The sequence below is a fragment of the Homo sapiens genome, chromosome 11, assembly GCF_000001405.40.
Source record: "Homo sapiens chromosome 11, GRCh38.p14 Primary Assembly".
Taxonomy (NCBI): Eukaryota; Metazoa; Chordata; class Mammalia; order Primates; family Hominidae; genus Homo; species Homo sapiens.
In genome coordinates, this window is record NC_000011.10 from 118,003,244 (window position 1) to 118,022,858 (window position 19,615).

Consider the following 19,615-nt stretch of genomic DNA (forward strand, 5'->3'; position numbering starts at 1 on the left):
TGACAGGTCTGCTGCCTAAGTGGCAGGTCTGGGCAGTCAGGGCTGATTTGATCAAGCCTCAACCTAGAGGACCCTAGATACTAGGAAGCTTGACTCATTCATTTCCTGTTGTGCTCATGGGTTAAAAAAGCAAACCCACAGTTTTGGGTTTGAAGTAAACCCCAATTTAAAATTAAATGCATTGTTATTAATGACACACAGCACATTTTCCCACTATCATCTCGATCCTAACTTCACTTAATTTCCCATAAACCTCCAAAAAGGGTTGTGGGACCCAATAAACACTCTGCCGAAGAAGGACTGGGTAGGATAAAACTTGTGTTTTAAGAATATGGCTCTATCCAAAGCATCAGACATGAATCAGAAAGGATGGGGCAGGAGGCAAAGAGACCTGGCTGGAGACTTTTATTGTAGTCAGCATTTCATTTTGTCAAAAAACATTACGAAGCACTTGTTATGTGTTGGACATGGTGTGCAGCCCTGGGTACAGAGTGGTGAACCAAACAAGTGTGGCTTCATGGAGCCTGTCATCTGGTTATGAAGATAAACACCAAGCAAATAAACACAACAAACGTATTACTACAATCAGTGATAAGTGATGTGAAAGAAACTAGTATTCCACATGAAGGATGAGGCAGGAGGCAGAGAAACAGGGTAGGAGGCTGTCTTAGGCTGGGCTACTATAACAAAACACCATGGACTGGGTGGCTTAAACAACAGACATTTATCTCTCACAGTTCTGGAGGTGGGGAAGTGCAGGATCAAGGTGCCAGCTGAGTGAGTTCCCTGGGAGGGCTCTCTTCCTGGCTTGGAGACGGCCTCCTTCTTGCTGTGGCCTTACACGGTGGAGATAAAGAACTCTGGTCTCTCTTCCACTTTCTTACAAGGGCACTAATCCCATCATGGAGGCCCCATCCTCATGACCTCATCTAAACCAATTACCTCCCAGAGGCTTTACCTCCAAATACCGTCACATTGGGAGTGACAGCTTCAACATGAATTTGGGGAAGACAAAAATATTCAGTTCATAAGAGAGGCTTATACAATAGTCTAATCAAATGACAGTATTGAGCAGGGGCAGTGGGAACAGAGAGAAAGGGACAGACTCAAAGACATTTTAAAGGAAGCATTATCAAGATGGGGCAACAGGCTGGAGTGAAAGAAGGAGGTCTCAGAAGTGCTAGTCACACTTGAACCCGATGATGAGAAAAGCGAAATATGGACATGGAAGGGAGACAGAGGTGTGGAGGGAGAGGGGAGATGATGAGTTCTGGCTTAATAATGACAAGTCATCCAAGAAAAGGTCTTTCAGCAATTGGCAAGGCTGGCCTGGATCTGTGAGGCTCAGGGTTAGGGATTCCCATGTGAGAGTGAATGAGCTCATAGCCCTTAGTGTGAAGGTAAGGACGCCGGCTTGGAGAAGATCCCCAAACCCCTGCAGCCAATACAGTTAGAATATTCACGCGATGACTTCCTGCCTTGAGGAAAAGCAGGCTGCCATCCCTTCAACTCATCGAGTCACAGGAGCCACGGCTGTGTTTGGCATCTGTCTTGCAGAGCCCAGCCAGGAGCCTCACTGGGGCTCCTTGGTCAATCACAGCCCATCATCAAGGGTGCAGCTGAGGGCTCCCTTTAGTAAGTTGTCTAATCTGTAGAGCTGAGAGGCTCAGGGAGGGGTACAGACTAGTACATGATCTGCAAAGGCCTGGGTGTAGGGTGCCACACCTGTCTACCTCTACCCACATGGGGCAGAAGGGCGTGGTGGAGATTAAGACCTCACAGTGACCCTGGAGAGAACAGGAACATTCTTCAGAATCCTACTATCTGGTCACCCCAGCCCTGGAAGTGACCCTTGCCCTCCACCTCCCCACATCCCCTCTACCTGTCCCCTAAGGCAGAGTTTCTCAGAAGATTGCCTCTATCAGAATTACATGGGAGTATTTGTCTTCCTAAGCTGCTCCCCAAGGCCCAGAATTTCTGAATACCGGTTCCCAAGGACCTGCTAGGGAAACAACTTATAGCGACCACATTGCAGGTGATTCCAGCACACACTGAGTCACCTCTTTAAGGAACAACTTGTTGATTCGCTGCTTGTTCTATTAAAATCAGTCCTTTTTCTCCTCACTGCCCCCTACTTGTTATCACCCAGTCCACACCTTTAAGTGTTATCTGGATGCTGGTGGCTTCCAAATGTCCAAACAGGGTTTCTCTCCAGAACTCTATCCAGCTGCCTCATCAGCAGCTCCGTCCAGCATACATCTCAAAATTATAGTGTCTACAACAGAGCTCATGATTCCCCTGACACTCCTTCCTCCCCTAGTCTTCCCCACCTGATAAATGGCACCACCTTTCCCCTAGTTCAGGCCAAAAATCCAGGAGTCAGCCCTTTCTGCCCCATCAAACTCCTTAGTAAGTCCTATCAGCTCTACCTTCCAGATAGATGGTGAATCCAATCACTTGTCACCACCTCCCACTGTCATCTGGTCAAATTCATCTTCACCTCTCCCCTGGACCACCATGAGGCTCTGTCCTGCTCCTCTGCATCCACTCCTGCTCCCTCAGTCTAATCTCCATACCGCAGTCCTCCTGATGCAGTGCACAGAGCTGCATGGGCTCCCCCAGAACTGGAGGAGCTGGGCAGTAAGCAGATGGCAGGCAGTGGGCACTGCAGACGAGACTTTGTCAGGCCAGGAGGACGGGAGGCACCGACTGTATGGGCTGTCATGGGGATGTGCACAGGGGTCGATGGCGTGTGGAGAGCGGGCATTTGGCCCAGCTGGCGCTTTCTGGGAGGCCTCCTTGGGGAAGACAAGACAAAGGTTCTGAAAACTTACTGGCCAGCACCACCTTCTCTCCCATCCTTCACAATCAACTTTTTGAAAGAATTGAAAGACTCACTGACTCCACTTCCAACTGCTTCTGCAGCACTGACAGCTCCAGGGACACCCCGCACATGGTATGCTATAATATGCGAATGGCCGGATGGACTGCCGCAGCAAGCTTGTTGGTCTGGAAATGCTCCAAAGGCAAAGAGGAAGAGGCAACAGCCCCAGGGAGTAGAAAGAATGCTCAGCCACTTTCTGTTCTCTCCACATGAAACTGTCATGTCAGTTCTGGGCCTCAGTCTTCTCATCTGTGAAATGGACACAGTAGTCTTCAAGTTGACTTCTTTAATTAGTGCCCTGGGCACATTGCTACCCCTGAGTGTGCTACATGCAGTACTGACTGTAGGCTCCTGGGCAGCAAAAACCCCTCTGATTTCTCTCTGTGTCCTTTGCACCCAATCAATGCCTAACACATCGCAATGGGTGCTCAATACTCAATAAATTTTGATGAATAAATGAGTGCATGGATGAATGAATTTCTTCCATTCGTGGTAAGGAACTTGAAGAAGCATAGTATCCAAACATGAGAAGGCAACAGTGGTGATGGTAGCTTGTGGCTGAACAGATACTTGGGAGGCATTTAGACTGAGCCTAAAGAAAAGCAGCCTGTATATATCTATTATTTTAAATTTTATCTTCAGGCTTGTCATCTTCCTAGCTGAGTCATATCATGCTGGATCCCTTCCCTGCAATTTTCACCCTACAACTCTTGGGTGTTGTAGGAACTCAGGGCTATAGACCAAATGGGAAGGCAAGGGGATGTGGTCAAGAGACAAGGCAAAGGACCATGAAAACATTCAACATGCATTCACTCTTTGGGCAAACATTCATTGAGCCTCTGTCATGGGCAGGCCCTCTGGAAATACAAAAGGCATCAGACATGATCCTTCTCCTTCTTGGCTCAGTTGTGTAGTACATACACACACACACGCACACGCACACACACACAGGGGTGTCTCCACCCACCTCCTTCTCCACTCCCCACCCCCACCCAGCACTGTGGAACTGATTAGAGTCCATCTGGAGGGAGAAGTAGGTTCTTGGGGGCCAAAGATGTCAGAGTAGCTGCCAGTTTGGACTGAGGCTAGAAGTGGGTGAAAAAGGATTATTCCGAGTTACCTGAGCTCTGAAATAGCCTCCCAGCTGGAAGGGACCTCAGAGTCCTCAGGTCCAATGGCAGCCTTATACAAACAAACACAGCATCAGGGGCTCAGAGAGCTTGCGCTCACCAGCTACAAGGGGAGGAAATGGGACTAGAATAGAAGATGTAACTTCTTTTTTTTTTTGAGACTGAGACTCGCTCTGTTGCCAGGCTGGAGTGCAGTGGTGCAATCTTGGCTCACTGCAACCTCTGCCTCCTGGGTTCAAGAGATTCCCCTGCCTCAGCCTCCCAAATAGTGGGGGCTACAGTCAGGCACCACCATGCCCAGCTAACTTTTGTATTTTTAGTAGAGACAGGGTTTCACCATGTTGGCCAGGATGGTCTCAAACTCTTGACCTTGTGATCCACCCGCCTTGGCCTCCCAAAGTGCTGGGATTATAGGTGTGAGCCACTGTGCCCGGCCGAAGATGTGACTTCTTATACTGCTCACCATCATCCCCCCAGTGGTTCTCTGCTTATCATGAGAAACCGCATCCTCCTGATTAGGGAGGAGTAGACCAACCCAATAGCTCTGCAGATAAAAACTCACTTCCAGCACTGCCCAACCTGTTTTTTCTTGATTTGTTTTTCAACTTCTTGCTTTCTTTTTTTTTTTTTCTTTTGACAGTCTTGCTCTGTCTCCAGGCTGGAGTCCAGTGGCACAATCTCAGCTCTCTGCAACATCTGCCTCCCAGATTCAAGCAATTCCCTTGCCTCAGCCTCCCTAGTAGCTAGGATTATAGGCACGAGCCACCACGCTCGGCTAATTTTTGTAGTTTTAGCAGAGATGGGTTTTCACTATGTTGGCCAGGCTGATCTTGAACTCCTGACCTCAAGTGATCCACCCGCCTTGGCTTCCCAAAGTGCTAGGATTACAGGCGTGAGCCACCGTGCCCGGCCACACCTGTTGTTTTGCTGGCCTGCTGCTACTCTGGGCAGGCAGAACATTTTCACTTCTGGTCTCCAAGTGTGAGAATTCACCAGGCCACTGGCTTCCTGTTTTGTACCAGATCTGTTTAAATATCACGGCTTCTAGATGGTTTTAGATCACTAAGCAGTTTTTAGAAATATAATAATGATCCTCCCATCTGCTCCCACTTTGAGTTTCTCAGACCCCTGGAGCAGAGAGTGGAGCACCAGAGACTCTGGCCTCCTGGCTCCTGGCACCAGGCCCCCTCCAATGCCACTGGCATGGGACAAGACCATTAAGATTTGAAGAAGAACCTAGAGGAGAGAAAAGCTCCCTCTTCACCTGCCAGCCTTGTCACGGTTTTGATCATTCCTTAGGTTATCCTTTAAGATAGAAAAATCGTCATCTGTGTGCTCTCTCTCAGAAATGTAACTGATCATGAGCACAAGGTTGAATGTAGTCAAGGATGGGGAGAGATCAAAAGTTTTGGTTTTCAGAGCACCTAGGATTGCACCAGGGATGAAGCAATGCCCAAGATGTTCTGAAGAGAGATTTCAACACAATTTCCTGAGAAGTTCCTGGCTATGGCCAGAGCCATGCAAAGTACCGTGGAGAACTCAGAAGAGGTTTAAAACCTGATTCTGCCTGCAAGAAATGCCCATCAAATAGGAGAAAGCAAGGTTAATTTCAGGGAGACTGGATGCCCCCATGGTGCCTAGCATAGTTCCTGGCATGTTATGGAAGCAGCGTGAATAAATGAATGCAAAGAAATAATCAATAATAAAGTTATGGGGGCCTGAGACTATCTGTATTTAAAATCAGCAGAGCACAAGATCCATGGGTCTTACAGAAGTCTCCCTGGAGAAGGGAAATTTGAGCTGGCATGAAGAATGGGCAGAATTTGGTGATTTGGAGGTCAAGGAAGTTCTAAAAAAACAAAAGGAAGAAAGAGGAGTGGGTCAGTGGGAAGCTCAGAGCTGAGGATGGGGCCTGGGGAGGACTGGGCTCCTGAGCGCCCTTCTCACCACACAAGGAGACCCCAAAAAGAGATTAGAGACCATCTGGAGGGAGGAGTATGTTCTTGGGGGCCAAGGATGTTAGGATAGCTGCCAGTTTGGACTGAGGCTAGAAGTGGGTGACAAAGGACTATAAAGAAAATAGATTCTTGCTTGGCCTTGAACAAATCACTTCACGGCACTCTGGGCCTCTGTTCCCTCACCTGTGAGGCTGTGAGGATGAAGACGCGCATCATAAGCCTCTGCCCTGCACTGATATGTGCTCAGCAAATGTTAGCGTTTCACCCTACAGGTAAAGTTGGTTGGGAATGGGCCAGACTTGGAACCTGGTCAGACACACGCAGAGTCAAGGAAAGGCTAAGTAATGCTTAGAATCCTAGACCACTAGGGAACTGCAGCCATCACCTTTCAACTGCCATCTCCTAAATTAGAAAGATATATTGACACTTTGTACTTGCATCTTTTAATTGTTTACTGAGCACCTACTATGGACCAGGCTATACGCTAAGAACTGAGAATGCAGACGCTTTAAAAAAAAAAAAAAAAAAAGTAGATGAGGTCTTTGCTCTCCTACAGGTAAGAACCAGGAGAAGCCTTGGAAAAATAGTCCAATCTTTTGATTCCAGATGCTGAAATAGATGTCCAAAGAGGTGGAGTAAGTAGCCCATGACCACACAGCACATCAGGGCAGGGTCAGAACCAGACCTTATACTACATTCAGTTCTCATCCTTACGCCCTGATGTCAGCTACATCCGTGAGGGTGCAGACTCTGCTCAGCTCTGGTGCAGCCAGTAGCCAGTTGTGGAACTTGGGTAAAGCATGCTGCTTTTCTGACCCAAGTGCCCCCATATGTAAAACGGGACCAAGAATAATCCCTGTGTCTCAAGCTTGACATAAGGCTCAAAATGCAGTACCATGCAAGAAAAGGCTTTGTGTTCTGTGGACTGTGAACTGTGCAAACAGTCTCTGCTCCTCCTTTTGATCACTAAGCAGTTTTTAAAAAGATAATAATGATCCTCCCATCTGCTCCTACTTTGAGTTTCTCAGACTCCTGAAGCAGAGAGAGGGGCACCAGAGACACTGCCCTCCTGGCTCCTGGCACCTGGCCCCCTCCAATGCCACTGGCATGGGACGAGATCATTAAGACTTCAAGGAGAACTTAGAGGAGAGAAAAGCTCCCTCTTCGCCTCCCAGCCTCATCATGATTTTGATCAATTTTCTAGGACAAAGCAGCCTTCTGTGGCTACATTGGGTGTCTCTTCTCTACTCGGCAAGTAGTCACTGACCTCCTCCAGCACGCTCCAGTTTTAGGAGTTACTAAAGACCTATGGAACATAACTTTGTTGGCAGAGGGTTCAGCCTGGTTGAGGAACAGCACAAATGGAGGAAATGTGGCCACCTGCAATTCAGATCAAAATGGTTGGTGTCAAGTCTCAAGCCCTGAGCGAAGTCACAGCAAAGACGGACTTGGGCCATCTCACAGAGACTAGATATGGCCAGGAGGGGAGGGGCTGCAGGGACAAGAGGCCACCCAGGCTGGAGAATAGCCCCAGAGAAGGCACCAAAGCGTGGCAGGGGAACCCGGACCAGCCAGCCCTTGGACCCCCAGCCCCCGTGACTGCCTCTGGGCTCTTAGGGCCAGTGGAAAGAAGAACCGTAAAAAGGTAGCGGGAAGGTGTTGGGAGAGGCTCTGGCACTGCTATGATCTGGGTCCCAGCCAGTGCCTGGCTCAGCCAAACCTGTGGCTGGGTTTCCAGGCATCTGCTCCCGAATCGTTTCTAAACAAGCTGGAATCTGCCCTTTAGAGCCCTCAACAGAAACACGCAAAGTCCAGGGGTAAGGCCCAGGCCCCAAGGGTGAAGAAAGCTGTGCTCGCCAGTAGCCTGCGGAAGTAAGGAAAAGAGGGGGAGGCTGAGGGGACAGAGGGTGCGTCAGAGGGCCCTAAAAGAGGAAGTCGCCCAGTATCAGTTCTGCTCCCGAGGATGGGAAATACCCTCCGTGCTCCCAGCCCCGGGCAGCTGTCCCCGTCTCCTCACCTGAAGCCACAGACCTGGGGCCAGGGCCACCTGGGTCCTGGGTCCCATCCTCCCTTTCAAGATTCCCCAAGGCTACTGAGTTCTGAGCACTTCCGGGGGCCTAGGGTGGCCGGGCATGGACTGCAGACCCAGGATCCCTGCTAGGCAGGGTGCGGGTACAGAGTTTTATTGGGGCCGGGCCAGGTGCAGCAGCTGACACCTATAATCCCAGCACTTTGGGAGGCCGAGGCGGGTGGCTCACTTGAGGTTAGGAGTTCGGGACCAGCCTGGCCAACATAGTGAAACCCCATCTGTACTAAAAATATAAAAGTTAGTCGGGCATGATGGCGCACACCTGTAACCCCAGCTACTTGGGAGGCTGAGGCAGGAGGATCCTTTGAACCTGGGAGACGGAGGTTGCAGTGAGCCAAGATCCCGCCACTGCACTCCAGCCTGGGCAACAGGGCAAGACTCCATCTCAAAAAAAGAAAGAAAGAAAGTTTTACTGGGGCCCAAACCTCAGGGGTTAGGAAAGAGGCCCCAGTCCTCAGAATTGAAATCCAAGGAAGGAAGCCGAAGACAACTCATCTCCCCTCCCTGCTATTCCAAGAGGCCTTCAAGGAAGGGAGGGGTCTCAGAACCACTAAGGGGCCTTCCTCACTCCCACTTACTCAGGGGCAGAAGACTCAGTTGAAGACCTCCAAATCCAGAGACTTGGTAATTAAGTCAAAGCCTGGCTATGCTGGGAGAATGGCCTCCAGACCCTGGCAGAAAATGGGGTAAGGGCTGGTGAGGCTCCCCACCTTCCTTCCTCTACAATCTGCTAGAACCCAAAACGAGAAATGAGGCTTTGGGAAAGGGAGCACAGGAAGAGAAATCACACAGCTTCCCTCCTCCTCCCACTTGCTCTATTGGGCTCCTGCATCTGTTGCTGGGCTGCTAGCAGAGAGGCTGGCAGCTGGCTGTTCTAACTGCAGGTTTCAGCAGTGACAGGCTCCCTTCTCTTGCCCTACTCCATCCACAGGAGCCCCGAGGACTCTGCCTCTCTGGTTTGAACAAGTCTGCACTAAGCACCTTCTAAGCTGACGTCCTGTGCACACTCTGCCTCCAGTCCAGCAGGGCACAGACCGGAGAAAGGAGTGATGACTCACGAGGGGAACTGCCCTGCTGTCTACCAAACTACAGTGGATTCCTGGTTTCCCTGGTGCATTATCTGGTTTGTTCAGCCTCGCCTGGGTTCCTCTTCACACTCCCACCATTTCTGGCCCACTTTTGCCACAGGACAGGCTTTGCACAAGAAATGCAGAACACTGTAATGTAGAACTCACCCACTCCCCCGTGCCCAGCCCATTGCAGGAGCCTAGGCGACAAGAACATGTTTCTAGACTGTTCTCAGCACTGCACATCAAAATTGGGAGTTGGCCATGTTTGGGAGGCACTGAGGCCTTGAGCAGTAAGAGAACAGGCCCAGATTGGGGATGGGGCAGGGGGAGGGTTGAAAGTGCTGGAATCAAGTACAGAGGGGGCAGGGCAGAGTCGAGGCCCAGCTCAGTCTTCAGGGAAGTTGGCCTCAGGTGGGAATGTTAAAACCATGTCTGGAATCACCTCTGTATAACTTTGCTTATTGAAGCTATGAGTGGCTTTCTGGCCCCTGGTCAACCCTACAAGGGCAGGTAACTGGAGATACTACATAAAGAAGCTCCCTGCTGGTGTCTGGAGGCCTTGCCCACACTGGACTGCACTGGGCAGGGCTGGTTCTCCAGGACATCTGTGACCCCTCCTACAGGCTCAGGGGCTTCCTGGGATCTAGATTCCTCCTGAGGAATGGTGGCCTCTTTTAGTTCTGAGAGAAAGCCGCTGCTGCCCAGCCAGACTCCATTCCCAGAGGCCTGACTCCCCAGGACTCCCATACCATAGGCTGGTGGCGTATCCAGAGGAGACCCCCTCATTCTCCACAATGAGGGGCCAGGCCAGGCCTTGAAGATCCGAGGGGATGAGGGCAGTCCAGGGGAGCCTGGGAGGGGCAAGAACTGCCCAAGAGAGAAATGGTTTGAATGGGAAAAAGCAACTGAGATGTGGGGAAGGGATGGGCTTAAAGGCAGGCAAGGGAACGTGTGGCCAGAGTTGGCGGGCCATGAAGCAGGGGAGGCTCCTGGGCTCAGAAAGCTCAGAACTGAAGTGCTAGAGTGATGCTTCTTGGAGATATTGGCCATCTGGAAATTTTATCTCAGAGCAAGAGTTAAGATAAAAAGCTGTGCTCTAGAAGCTTCCACCTTGAATGCAAACAGAACCTTCCCAGGAAGGAAAGGCCGGGCATGGATTGGGTGGACAGGAGGAAACAGGGCAGGCCCAGTGCCAGAAGCGGGTGGGGGAAAACATGACCCAAGCCTGAGATCGGCACCAGAAGACAGGGGATGAACCAAATAATCTCTTTGGGTTCCAAGTGGTCCTTGGTGCGAGGCTTGGGTGACTGGACCCTCTTAGGACCTTACTTGGACATCAGGCTCACTCGGCAGCTCTCCCAACTCCAACTCACCTCCCCAGGGCTTCACAAGTTGCTGTCTCTGCATCAGACTAGCCCGTTGGAGAACTTCATGTAGCCACCATCTGTGCTGCTGATGTGACCACTGATGGTGAAGGGTGGACCCATCTCCAGATCCTTCAGGTTCCTGAAAAAGATGATCCAATCAGGCTACTGGAGCTGATAACCTAGCCTCTCCCTGGGTCCCCATCTCCCTTGACTCCAGGGCACCAACTCACTGACTTGTCTTCCAGAAAAGGAAGTGGGCCACTTACCATAATCATCTCTCAGGGCCAAAGGAGGTACAGCCCTGCCTGTGGCAAGTAGATGAGATGACCAACGCCAAGAGGACTTCCAGCTCGCACTCCCTGAATCCCTGATTTTCTGATATGCTCTTCTTTCTGATACCATCTTGTGCCTGAGATTACATTATTTGTAATCAGACCTGTCTCCAGCAGAGACATGAAATGCTTGAAGACAGAGACTATGCCCAGTCATCTTTGTACTCTTTGAAACTAATACGGCAGTAGTGGTGGTTATGATAGCATCTTTCTGAATAAATGATAAGGAAGGAAAGAAGGAAGGAAGGAAGGGAAGGGAAGGAAAGGAAAGGAAGGAAGAAAGGAAGGCAGCTCTGTCTGCTTGGGGGAGAGATGGATGGATGGATGGATGGATGGATGGATGGATGGATGGATGGATGAATGGATGGATGGATGGGTGGATGGATGTTCCCTGCCTAAGGGTGAGTGTTAAGGAGATCATTGTCATCAGGGTTTCACATAGTCCTGTCTGTGTTCAAATTTTAATTCATGGGACTTTTCTAAATGGATTCTCGTGCCCTTCTTTTATTTTCTTAGGGGCATGAACAGAAGACAGGAAAGGGAACCAGTCAGTTCTTAATCTATCTTTGATTCTTTTTCCATTATATCTACCCCCAACCCCCACCTCACCCAGATATTCCCTGAATTTACTCACCGGATTTGATATAAGTTGAAGACAAAATTAGGCCCTAGGAAGACAATCCAAAAAGAGAGGGTTAGCACCTCCAGGGGAAGCAGTCCGCCACCCTTCTAAGAACGTCTGGTGCTCCCTCACCCCTGTCTGGAGGAGTAGGGTGGCTGGGCTGGACCTCAGGATGGTGTGGGAGCATTCCAGCCTCCTTCAGGGCCCCCCATTAACGGTCCTGATTATCCTGGGATGAAGGCAGTCCTAGCCTGGAGCCCAAAAGAACCAGACCTCAGCTTGGATTCAGACTCCACCTCATTCTAACTCCACGACTTTAGCCTCATGTCTCCATCTATAAAAATGAAGGCTATAATAATGTCTTCCTCATGTGGAATTTTAAAGAAAATCATATTAGACAAAAGTGCATTGGCACATAGTAGGTGCTCAACAAATATCCATGGACTCTGTTAAAGTTAAGTGCAGATCTAGGAAATAGTTTCTACCCCTTGGCATTCCAGCACACCCTTCCAGTTTTCCCAGATACCAGTGAAAAGTGCAGCTATGTCTCAGAGTTGAGAACACCACAGCAAATTCCAGGAGACTCCCAGTGAAGCTGATACCTCCACAAGCTTAGGAGAGGGCCCTAAGACCCACAGGCAGGGGCAGAGACACACAAGGAGCCTGTTGGAGCTTGGCCTGTCTAGCCCATTGATCTTGGCCTTGGGGGCCCACAGAGACCGCTGGCATGGACGTCTATGGGCTCTGAGGGAGGAGGAAGCTGGCTGCTTGCTGGGGTGGGAGGAGCCCCCATTCCCTCGATAAAAGTACCATTGCCCCACCTCACCACCTCAACTGCTCAGCCACCCACTCAAGTCTTCAACCACTGCAACCACCACAGGAAATATTTTTCATCCCACCATGCTGAAGAGTTTGCAGCCCTGCCGGGCATTGCCAACTGCTATGGGAGAGGAGGAGCTGCGCAGAACCGGGGCTACAGGGCCCAGTGCACACTCACCCTCCCAGCAGTACCCGCGCTGGTACCACTTGGCCAGGCTGTAGCCGAGGATGGACACGAGCAGCAGCAAGAGCCCCACGCCAAGGATCAGGCCCAAGGTGCTGATGGAGTCCTCACCTGCAGAGACATGCAGCTGTGCACCCTCCCACAGCCCCCTGCATCAACCCACCTGCACCACGTTCCAAAGTTCTCCTCCCTTCCCACTGCCTACCAACATAACTGTCCCCTGGGAGCCTTGCTCTGAGCCCAGTGATTCAGCCCAGCTATACTAAGATGAAAATGTCTGACACCTGAATTTTTAGAGTGAGCCTATCGGTATTTGGAGCTTGTTAATCCAAAGGAATAGTCCTCTGATAGTAGAGATTGTTTGAGGTCTTTTTGAAGCCACAGGCATATTCTACCTGGAAAAAGCTCTACCTGTGTCGGGGTGAGCCTGGGAGGTCCAGCCTCAGCATGAGCCAGGTGGTCAGGGGCCACCTGGAGGGTCCAAGAACACAGACCGGGGACCCTCAGTCCCCCCACCCCTTTGCAAAGCTCATGCACCCAGTGGCAGCAGGGTGTTAACCCTTGGGCTCTGTTTGCTGCCTGTACTTACCACTTCTTCCCTTTTTGTGGTATGAGCTCTTAGCTAAATTTATATTTTATTTGTAAAGTCAAACCAAGAAAGAGAGAGAGAGAGAGGTTGGAAACCTGCAGGAGATGAGATAGGCCATGGTAGAAGCAGAAAGGACAACCAGGTTCTGAGGAAGAGGCTGACAGTGGGGGCACCCTACGGACAACCCACCTCTGCCGGGGCAGGGAATCAGGAAGGCCAGCCCCACTCCTGCCCGATGAGGTACCAGGAGTGTGGAAGAATGGAGTGATTCCCCATTTGGTGTCCTGAGGCTCCAGGGATACTGCCAAGAGGCCAGGAGGTGCAGTGGTTGAACTCAGACTTTAGGTGCAGGCTAGCATCTGAAGCCTAGATCCACTATTTGCAAGCTGTGAGACCCTGACACACACAAGTCCCTTTACCTTGCTGAACTTCAACTGCTCTGATGGAAAATAAGACTAATATTAAATACACATAGATTGTTGTGACAATTAAAAGAGATACCACATGTAGAGAGCACTTAGGAGAGGATCTGACATACACTAAATGCTCAATAGATGTAAATTATATCATTATTGTTGTTGTTGTCATTAGTATTATCAAATGGTGCAACTGTATTTTTTAAGTATTTCACAATTCTCCCATTAAAAACGGTATGCCCATGCTATGCCTCTTGGTCCTTCCTCTCACTAGCAACCAGGTTATTTACTCAGTGAACAGAATGTGACAGCCAAATGCAGAGGGAAGGGGTCTCTCCCTTCAGTTTTAAGTTACAAAAACCCAGGCCCTTAGAGAAAGGGAAAGAATTCACAGCATAGACAAGAAGTGAGCCAGAACAAGAATTACCCTCCTCATCATACTAGGAAAAAATCTCCAGCCCAGAGAGATGAAAGAGATAAAGAAAAAGGCCAGGTTACAAAGATGCCGATGGGTCCCAGAGAGAGCAACCTTGTTCCCTGCTCCAAAGTCGAGCCCCGGGAAGGCAATAGAATTCCCAGATGGAGTTGTGGGATCCAAGAGCTGGGCTGAGCTCCAAGACAGCAAGAGCCCAGATAAGAATAATTGCATATGGATGCCTTGCCACATGGAGCCTCACACAACCTTGAAGAGTTGCTGTCATGGCATGAGAGTAACCAAATGATTCCTGTATCCACAAGAGAGACAGGGAAGTCATAGAGAGCCCCTCCAGTGAAGGGAGACAGGCAATAAACTAAATAAAGAAATTAATTATATACCATATTAGAGGGTGGTAAATGCTAGAGAAAAAAATTAAGCAGAAAGAAAGCATTGTGAAGGGAGAGAGCAGTTTTAAATAAAGTGGTCAAGGAAGGTCTTATGACAAATGTGACAATTGAGAAGACCTAAAGGAGGTGTATTAGTTTATTCTCACACTACTAATAAAAACGTACCTGAGACTGGGTAATTTATAAAGGAAAGAGGTTTAATTGACTCACAGTTCAGCATGGCTGGGGAGGCCTCAGGAAACTTACAGTCAGGGTGGAAGGGGAAACAAACACGTCCTTCTTCACATGACGGCAGGAAGGAGAAGAGTGCCAAGCAAAAGCGGGGAAAGTCCCTTATTAAACCATCAAATCTCATGAGAACTTACTAACTATCAGGAGAACAGCAAGAGGGTACCCACCCCCATGATTAAATCACCTCCCACCAGGTCCTTCCCACAACACATGGGGATTATGGGAACTACAATTCAAGATGAGATCTGGGTGAAGACACAGCCAAACCATACCAGGAGGTGAGAGAAGAAACAAGCCTTAGAGGTATCTAGAGTGAAAATGTCTAGGCAGAGGGAGCAGTAGGTACAAATGAGGCAGGAGCATGCCTAGCAGGTTCCAGAAGCATCCAGGAGCCCTGGGTCATGAGCAGGAAGGCAGCAGGAGAGGAGGTACCAGGAGCCAAATAATGTAGTGCTCTGAAGACAATGAGGGGAGCTTGGCTTTTCCTCTGAGTGAGATGGGGAGTCACTTGAGGACTTGGAGCAGATAAAGGGCATGACCCAATGTTTTAAAAGGATGTCTCTGGCTGGCTACTGTGTTAAGAATTGACGAAGTAGGGAATGATGCTGGAGAAGGGGGACCAGTCAGGAGGCTACTGCAATATCCAAGCAAGAGACAGTAATTAGAGGAAAGGAGTGCAAGGAACTAAGAGGCCAAGGTCAAAGAAGATCATCTCTGTGGATGACAGAGAGAGGGACAGTGACCCAAGGACTCAAATCTTCAAGAACTAAGGGTTAGTGACTCACAGGTGGACGGACAGATGTCAACACAGCGTCATAGTGATACTGGTGGTGTTTGTGGAAGCTGGGGTTTGAAGGGTTTCATCAAAGAAAAGTCTGTCCAAAAGTAGGAAATACCAGTAGGAAAGCACCAGCAGGGAAATCACAGGCCTTCCAGAGACCCTGAGGTGAGGGAAGGAGATGTTATGTCTCCACTGTTACTTTTTTGTGTCTTCTACACAGTGCCTTCTGACTTAGGCAGGTTGCAGAAACAATTACTCTATTTTACCTTTTGATCTTTCTGGGATGCTCCTTTACCTAATATTCTTTAGTCTTTTTTTTAATACTTTTAAATTTTTATTATAAAATATTTCATGCATACAAGAAGTACATAAAATAGCATGAAGAACAGCCATGTGCCTACTAGTAATTTTTCAAAGAATTCTAAAATGCTGCCTTTCTTACTTATAAAGTAGCTCAATTTCAGAGTAGTCCTCTCCTATCTCTCCCTCCAAGTAAATACCCTCCCAAATTTGGTGTTTATCTCTGCTGTACACCTTTTTTATACCATTACTTCATATTTTTAACAAATTCTATATATCTATGTAGATATAGAGATATATAGCATTGTTTTACATGTTTTCAAACTTTATGAAAATTATGTTAGGACCACTTCCACTTCTGGCCATGGTGGAATAATAGGGACCAGGTTTACTTTCCTACTTTCATAACTAGAAAACCAACAAACCATCTAAAACAATGGGCAAAGGTAGTACAGAATAGTGATCCCTGAAGGAAGGAAGTAAAATGAAGAGCTCTCTAGGATTGCCTGGCTTATTGCCTGGGTGAGTTCCCCGAGTTCCAGCACAGGAGGGAAAACCCAGAAAGAGCCCAGCAGTCAAATTGAGGAGTCAGAATTTAAGTTCAGGGAAGCCCAGGAAGCTAGAATTTACGGACAAAATACCAGAGAGAAGGGAGCTGGACAGAGACAAGGACTCTCAGAGATCTGCAAAGGGGTCCCCCAAAGTCTTTGGCTGTGGTTTGCCTCTTAAGTTTGCCTATAGTGTCTTTTTTGAGCAGAATTTTAACTAATATTTTAATCAAATTTATCTATTTGTGCTTTTTAAAAATCTTATTTAAGACATCCATCTCTCCTCCGAGACATACTCCTTATTTTTTTTCTAGAAGTTTTAACGTTTTGTTTTTTACAGTTTCGGACTTTAATCAACCTGGAATTCATTTTTGTATACATTATCTCCATAATTTTTGTATGGAAATTAATTTTCCATCCTTTTCCCCTTCATTGCTGCTGCTTTCATATATCAAGTTAAACAGATGTGCCTGCTTCTTTTTCTGGGCTTTCAACTGTATTCTATTGGTCTACGTGTCTGTCACTGGACACTAGACATGTAATGACAAACACTGCTACATTATCTTAATTACTATGGTCTCATAATAAATCTCGGCTGGGCATGGTGTCTCACGCCTGTAATCCCAGCATTTGGGAGGCCAAGGTTGTCGGATCAACTGAGGTCAGGAGTTCAAGACGACCAGCCTGGTCAACATGGTGAAACCCCATCTCTACTAAAAATACAAAAATTAGCCAGGTGTGGTAGCGGGCAAAGGTAATCCCAGCTACTCAGGAGGCTAAGGCAGGAGAATTACTTGAACCCAGGCAGCAGAGGTTGCAGTGAGCCAAGATCGCACTAGTGCACTCCAGCCTGGGTGAGAGAGCGAGACTCCATCATAACTAACTGACTAAATAAATAAATATATAAATAAATCTTGATAGCTGGTAAAATAAACGCTCCACTCTATCCTCCCTCATAAGCATGTTAGTTATTCTGAGTACTTTTCTCTTTCTTGTGAATTTGGGAATTCGTTTTTCAAGGTCAGTGAAAATCTCTATTAGAATTTGATTGAGATAACAGTAAATGTATAGGTTTATTTGGATAAAACTTATATATTTGAGATACTGAGTCTACAAACTTACAAGTATGGCAAATGTTTTCATTTATTTTGGGTCATCTTTTATAGACTGTCATATGTTTTATAATTTGTCCCTTAAAGGTTTGGTACTCTTCTTGCTAGATTTATTCCTCAGTACTTTATAATGTTGTTGTAAGTGTGAACAGGAGCTTGTTTTGTGTATATTGGTTTTCCATGTAATAGTGTTGCTGAATTCTCTCATTCTAATCATTTTCTTCTGGTCTTCCTTGGATATGTAGACTATTATATTGTCCGCAAATAAAGGCCATTTGCTTTCTTACTTTCTGTTCTTATATGTCTCAGTTTATTTTTCTTGTCTAATTGTATTGGTTAGAACTTCCAGTATAATGTACCTTGATATATGTATTTGATGCTCTAAATTTACCCCTAAGCATCACTTTAGCTTCATTTTATAAGACTTGATACGTAATATTTTTACCTTTGTCTGATCTAAATGTTTTTTAATTTCCACTGGGATATCTTCTTTAACCCTTGAGGTATTTGGCAGTGCGTTTTTAGTTTCCAAATTCACAGGGTAAGGTTTTTTTTTTTACTATTTATTAAGATGGACATGAGTTATAGAATTATGGCTGGTATAAGAAAAGAGTAACAGTTAATTTAATTTTAATACTAGCTCAATGTTTTCATCTAACTCATGAAGTCAAAGTAAAGCTTTTAGAAGCTTACTCTGTAGGAGGTAAAACATTGGAAATTATTGTGAATGTTACTGAAAATTCAGTTTAAAAGTTTGACATTAACAATAAAATTGTTTTTTCTTTTTACTTACTTTTGTCACTCTAAACTTCAGTCTTAGATATTTTTTTCTGGGCCTATCTTCTAGCTGACTAATTCTTTCTTCAGCTGTGTCTAATCTGCTATTAATCATCCTTAGTGTTTTAATTTGTTATGGTGTTTTTCATTTCCATAATTTTAACTTAATTCTTTTTATAATTTCCAATTATTTATTAAATTTTTCCGTTATGTCTAATTTTATATCATTTGCTATACATCTTTCCTATAGTTTTTATTCATTATTCTAGGGTTTATAAAATGTATCTTTAACTTATCACAGTCACATATAAAAGGGAAAATAAAGATATACCATATAAAAACTAATCAAAGGAAAGCTGAAGTGGCTCTGTGGATATCAGACAAAAACGATTTTAAAACAAGAAATATTACCAAGGATGAAGAAGGACATTTCATAATGATAAGAGGGACAACTCATCAAGAGGACATTTCATTATATAGCTTTAAAATATAAAAAGAAAAAATGAGTAGAACTGAAAGACAAACTTTAAAAATTCATAATTATTATTAGAGAATTCAACTCTTCTCTCTCAGCAATTGATAGAACAGGAAATCAGCTAAGGATATAGAGGACACAAACAACACTGCCAGCTAACTTGACCTTGTAGACATTTACAGAACACTACATCCAACATCTGGGGAATACACATTGTTCTCAAGTATATATGGAGCATTCATCAAGACAGATCATATGCTAAACCATAAAACAATAAGTCTTTTTTTTTTTTTTTTTTTTGAGATGGAGATGGAGTTTTGCTCTGTCACCAGGCTGGAGTGCAGTGGTGCAATCTCAGCTCACAACAACCTCCACCTCCCTGGTTCAAGTGAGGTTCAAGTGATTCTCCTGCCTCAGCCTCCCGAGTAGCTGGGACTACAGGTGCCTGCCACCATGCCCAGATAATTTTTGTAATTTTAGTAGAGACAGGGTTTCACCATGTTGGCCAGGATGGTCTTGATCTCTTGACCTCATGATCCGCCTGCCTTGGCCTCCCAAAGTGCTGGGATTACAGGCGTGAGCCACCGCCCCTGGCCCAACAATAAGTCTTAGTAAGTAAATCTCAATAAATTTTTAAAAGTTAAAATAATATACAATATGTTCCCTGACCACAGAATTATATTGGAAAATAAAGACAAAAAGATATCTGGAAAACATCCCAATATTTGGAAATTAAACAACACACTTCTAAAAACATCCTGGGTAAAAGAAGATATCACAAGGGAAATTAGAAAATACTTAGATCTGAATGATATTGAAAACACAACATAGCAAAAATGTAAGTTGAGGAGACAGTCCAAGGCAGCTAAAGTTCACAAGACAGAGGAAAGAGCTACATCAGGTAAAGAATCCAGCTATGTGCAGAGGGACCCCCTCAAGTATTCAATAAGTAATGAGTGCCTGTGTATAAAGGAGCTACCTGAGGCCAGAGAATCATCTGAAAGCATTCGTGGGAAACAGTGTCTAGCATTCAAATAGGGCTAGAAGCAGGGCCTATTCCCATAAACCAGACTAGAAAAACTCGTAATTCACAGGGTATTGGATAG

At 46.7% G+C, this 19,615-nt stretch overlaps 1 protein-coding gene across 5 annotated transcripts in view, besides 4 other annotated features; it reads right to left on the minus strand.

Annotated features, from left to right (window-relative positions):
- The window catches only part of SMIM35 (small integral membrane protein 35), an 83,330-nt gene continuing 64,105 nt past the window's right edge, over window positions 391–19,615 (minus strand). For 3 of the 5 annotated variants that reach the window (NM_001394165.1, NM_001394164.1, XM_024448283.2), the window contains 4 exons: window positions 12,450–12,566; window positions 11,465–11,498; window positions 10,505–10,637; window positions 391–3,133 (listed from right to left, as the gene is read on the minus strand). In NM_001394165.1, the coding sequence (NP_001381094.1) occupies window positions 10,538–10,637; window positions 11,465–11,498; window positions 12,450–12,566 (251 nt within the window). In that variant the 3' untranslated portion in view covers window positions 391–3,133; window positions 10,505–10,537. Of the gene's footprint in view, window positions 3,134–10,504; window positions 10,638–11,464; window positions 11,499–12,449; window positions 12,567–19,615 lie in introns of those variants that run through there. The other 2 variants (NM_001394166.1, NM_001354434.2) reach the window with 2 other exon arrangements.
- Window positions 6,673–6,722: a silencer, noted in NCBI's record as "silent region_3942". NCBI's record gives its function as "represses an Ori minimal core promoter by ATAC-STARR-seq in GM12878 lymphoblastoid cells {active_cell/tissue: GM12878}" and the evidence as "EXISTENCE:reporter gene assay evidence [ECO:0000049][PMID:35858748]".
- Window positions 7,247–7,346: an enhancer, noted in NCBI's record as "active region_5581". NCBI's record gives its function as "activates an Ori minimal core promoter by ATAC-STARR-seq in GM12878 lymphoblastoid cells {active_cell/tissue: GM12878}" and the evidence as "EXISTENCE:reporter gene assay evidence [ECO:0000049][PMID:35858748]".
- Window positions 7,492–7,992: an enhancer, noted in NCBI's record as "H3K4me1 hESC enhancer chr11:117881450-117881950 (GRCh37/hg19 assembly coordinates)". NCBI's record gives its function as "activates a minimal SCP1, AML or CMV promoter by ChIP-STARR-seq in primed H9 embryonic stem cells {active_cell/tissue: H9 hESC(primed)}" and the evidence as "EXISTENCE:reporter gene assay evidence [ECO:0000049][PMID:30033119]".
- Window positions 14,642–14,811: an enhancer, noted in NCBI's record as "experimental_19207 CRE fragment used in MPRA reporter constructs". NCBI's record gives its function as "activates a minimal promoter by MPRAs in K562 erythroleukemia cells, with activity observed for both the introgressed and non-introgressed 11:117888685 variant alleles {active_cell/tissue: K562}" and the evidence as "EXISTENCE:reporter gene assay evidence [ECO:0000049][PMID:34662402]".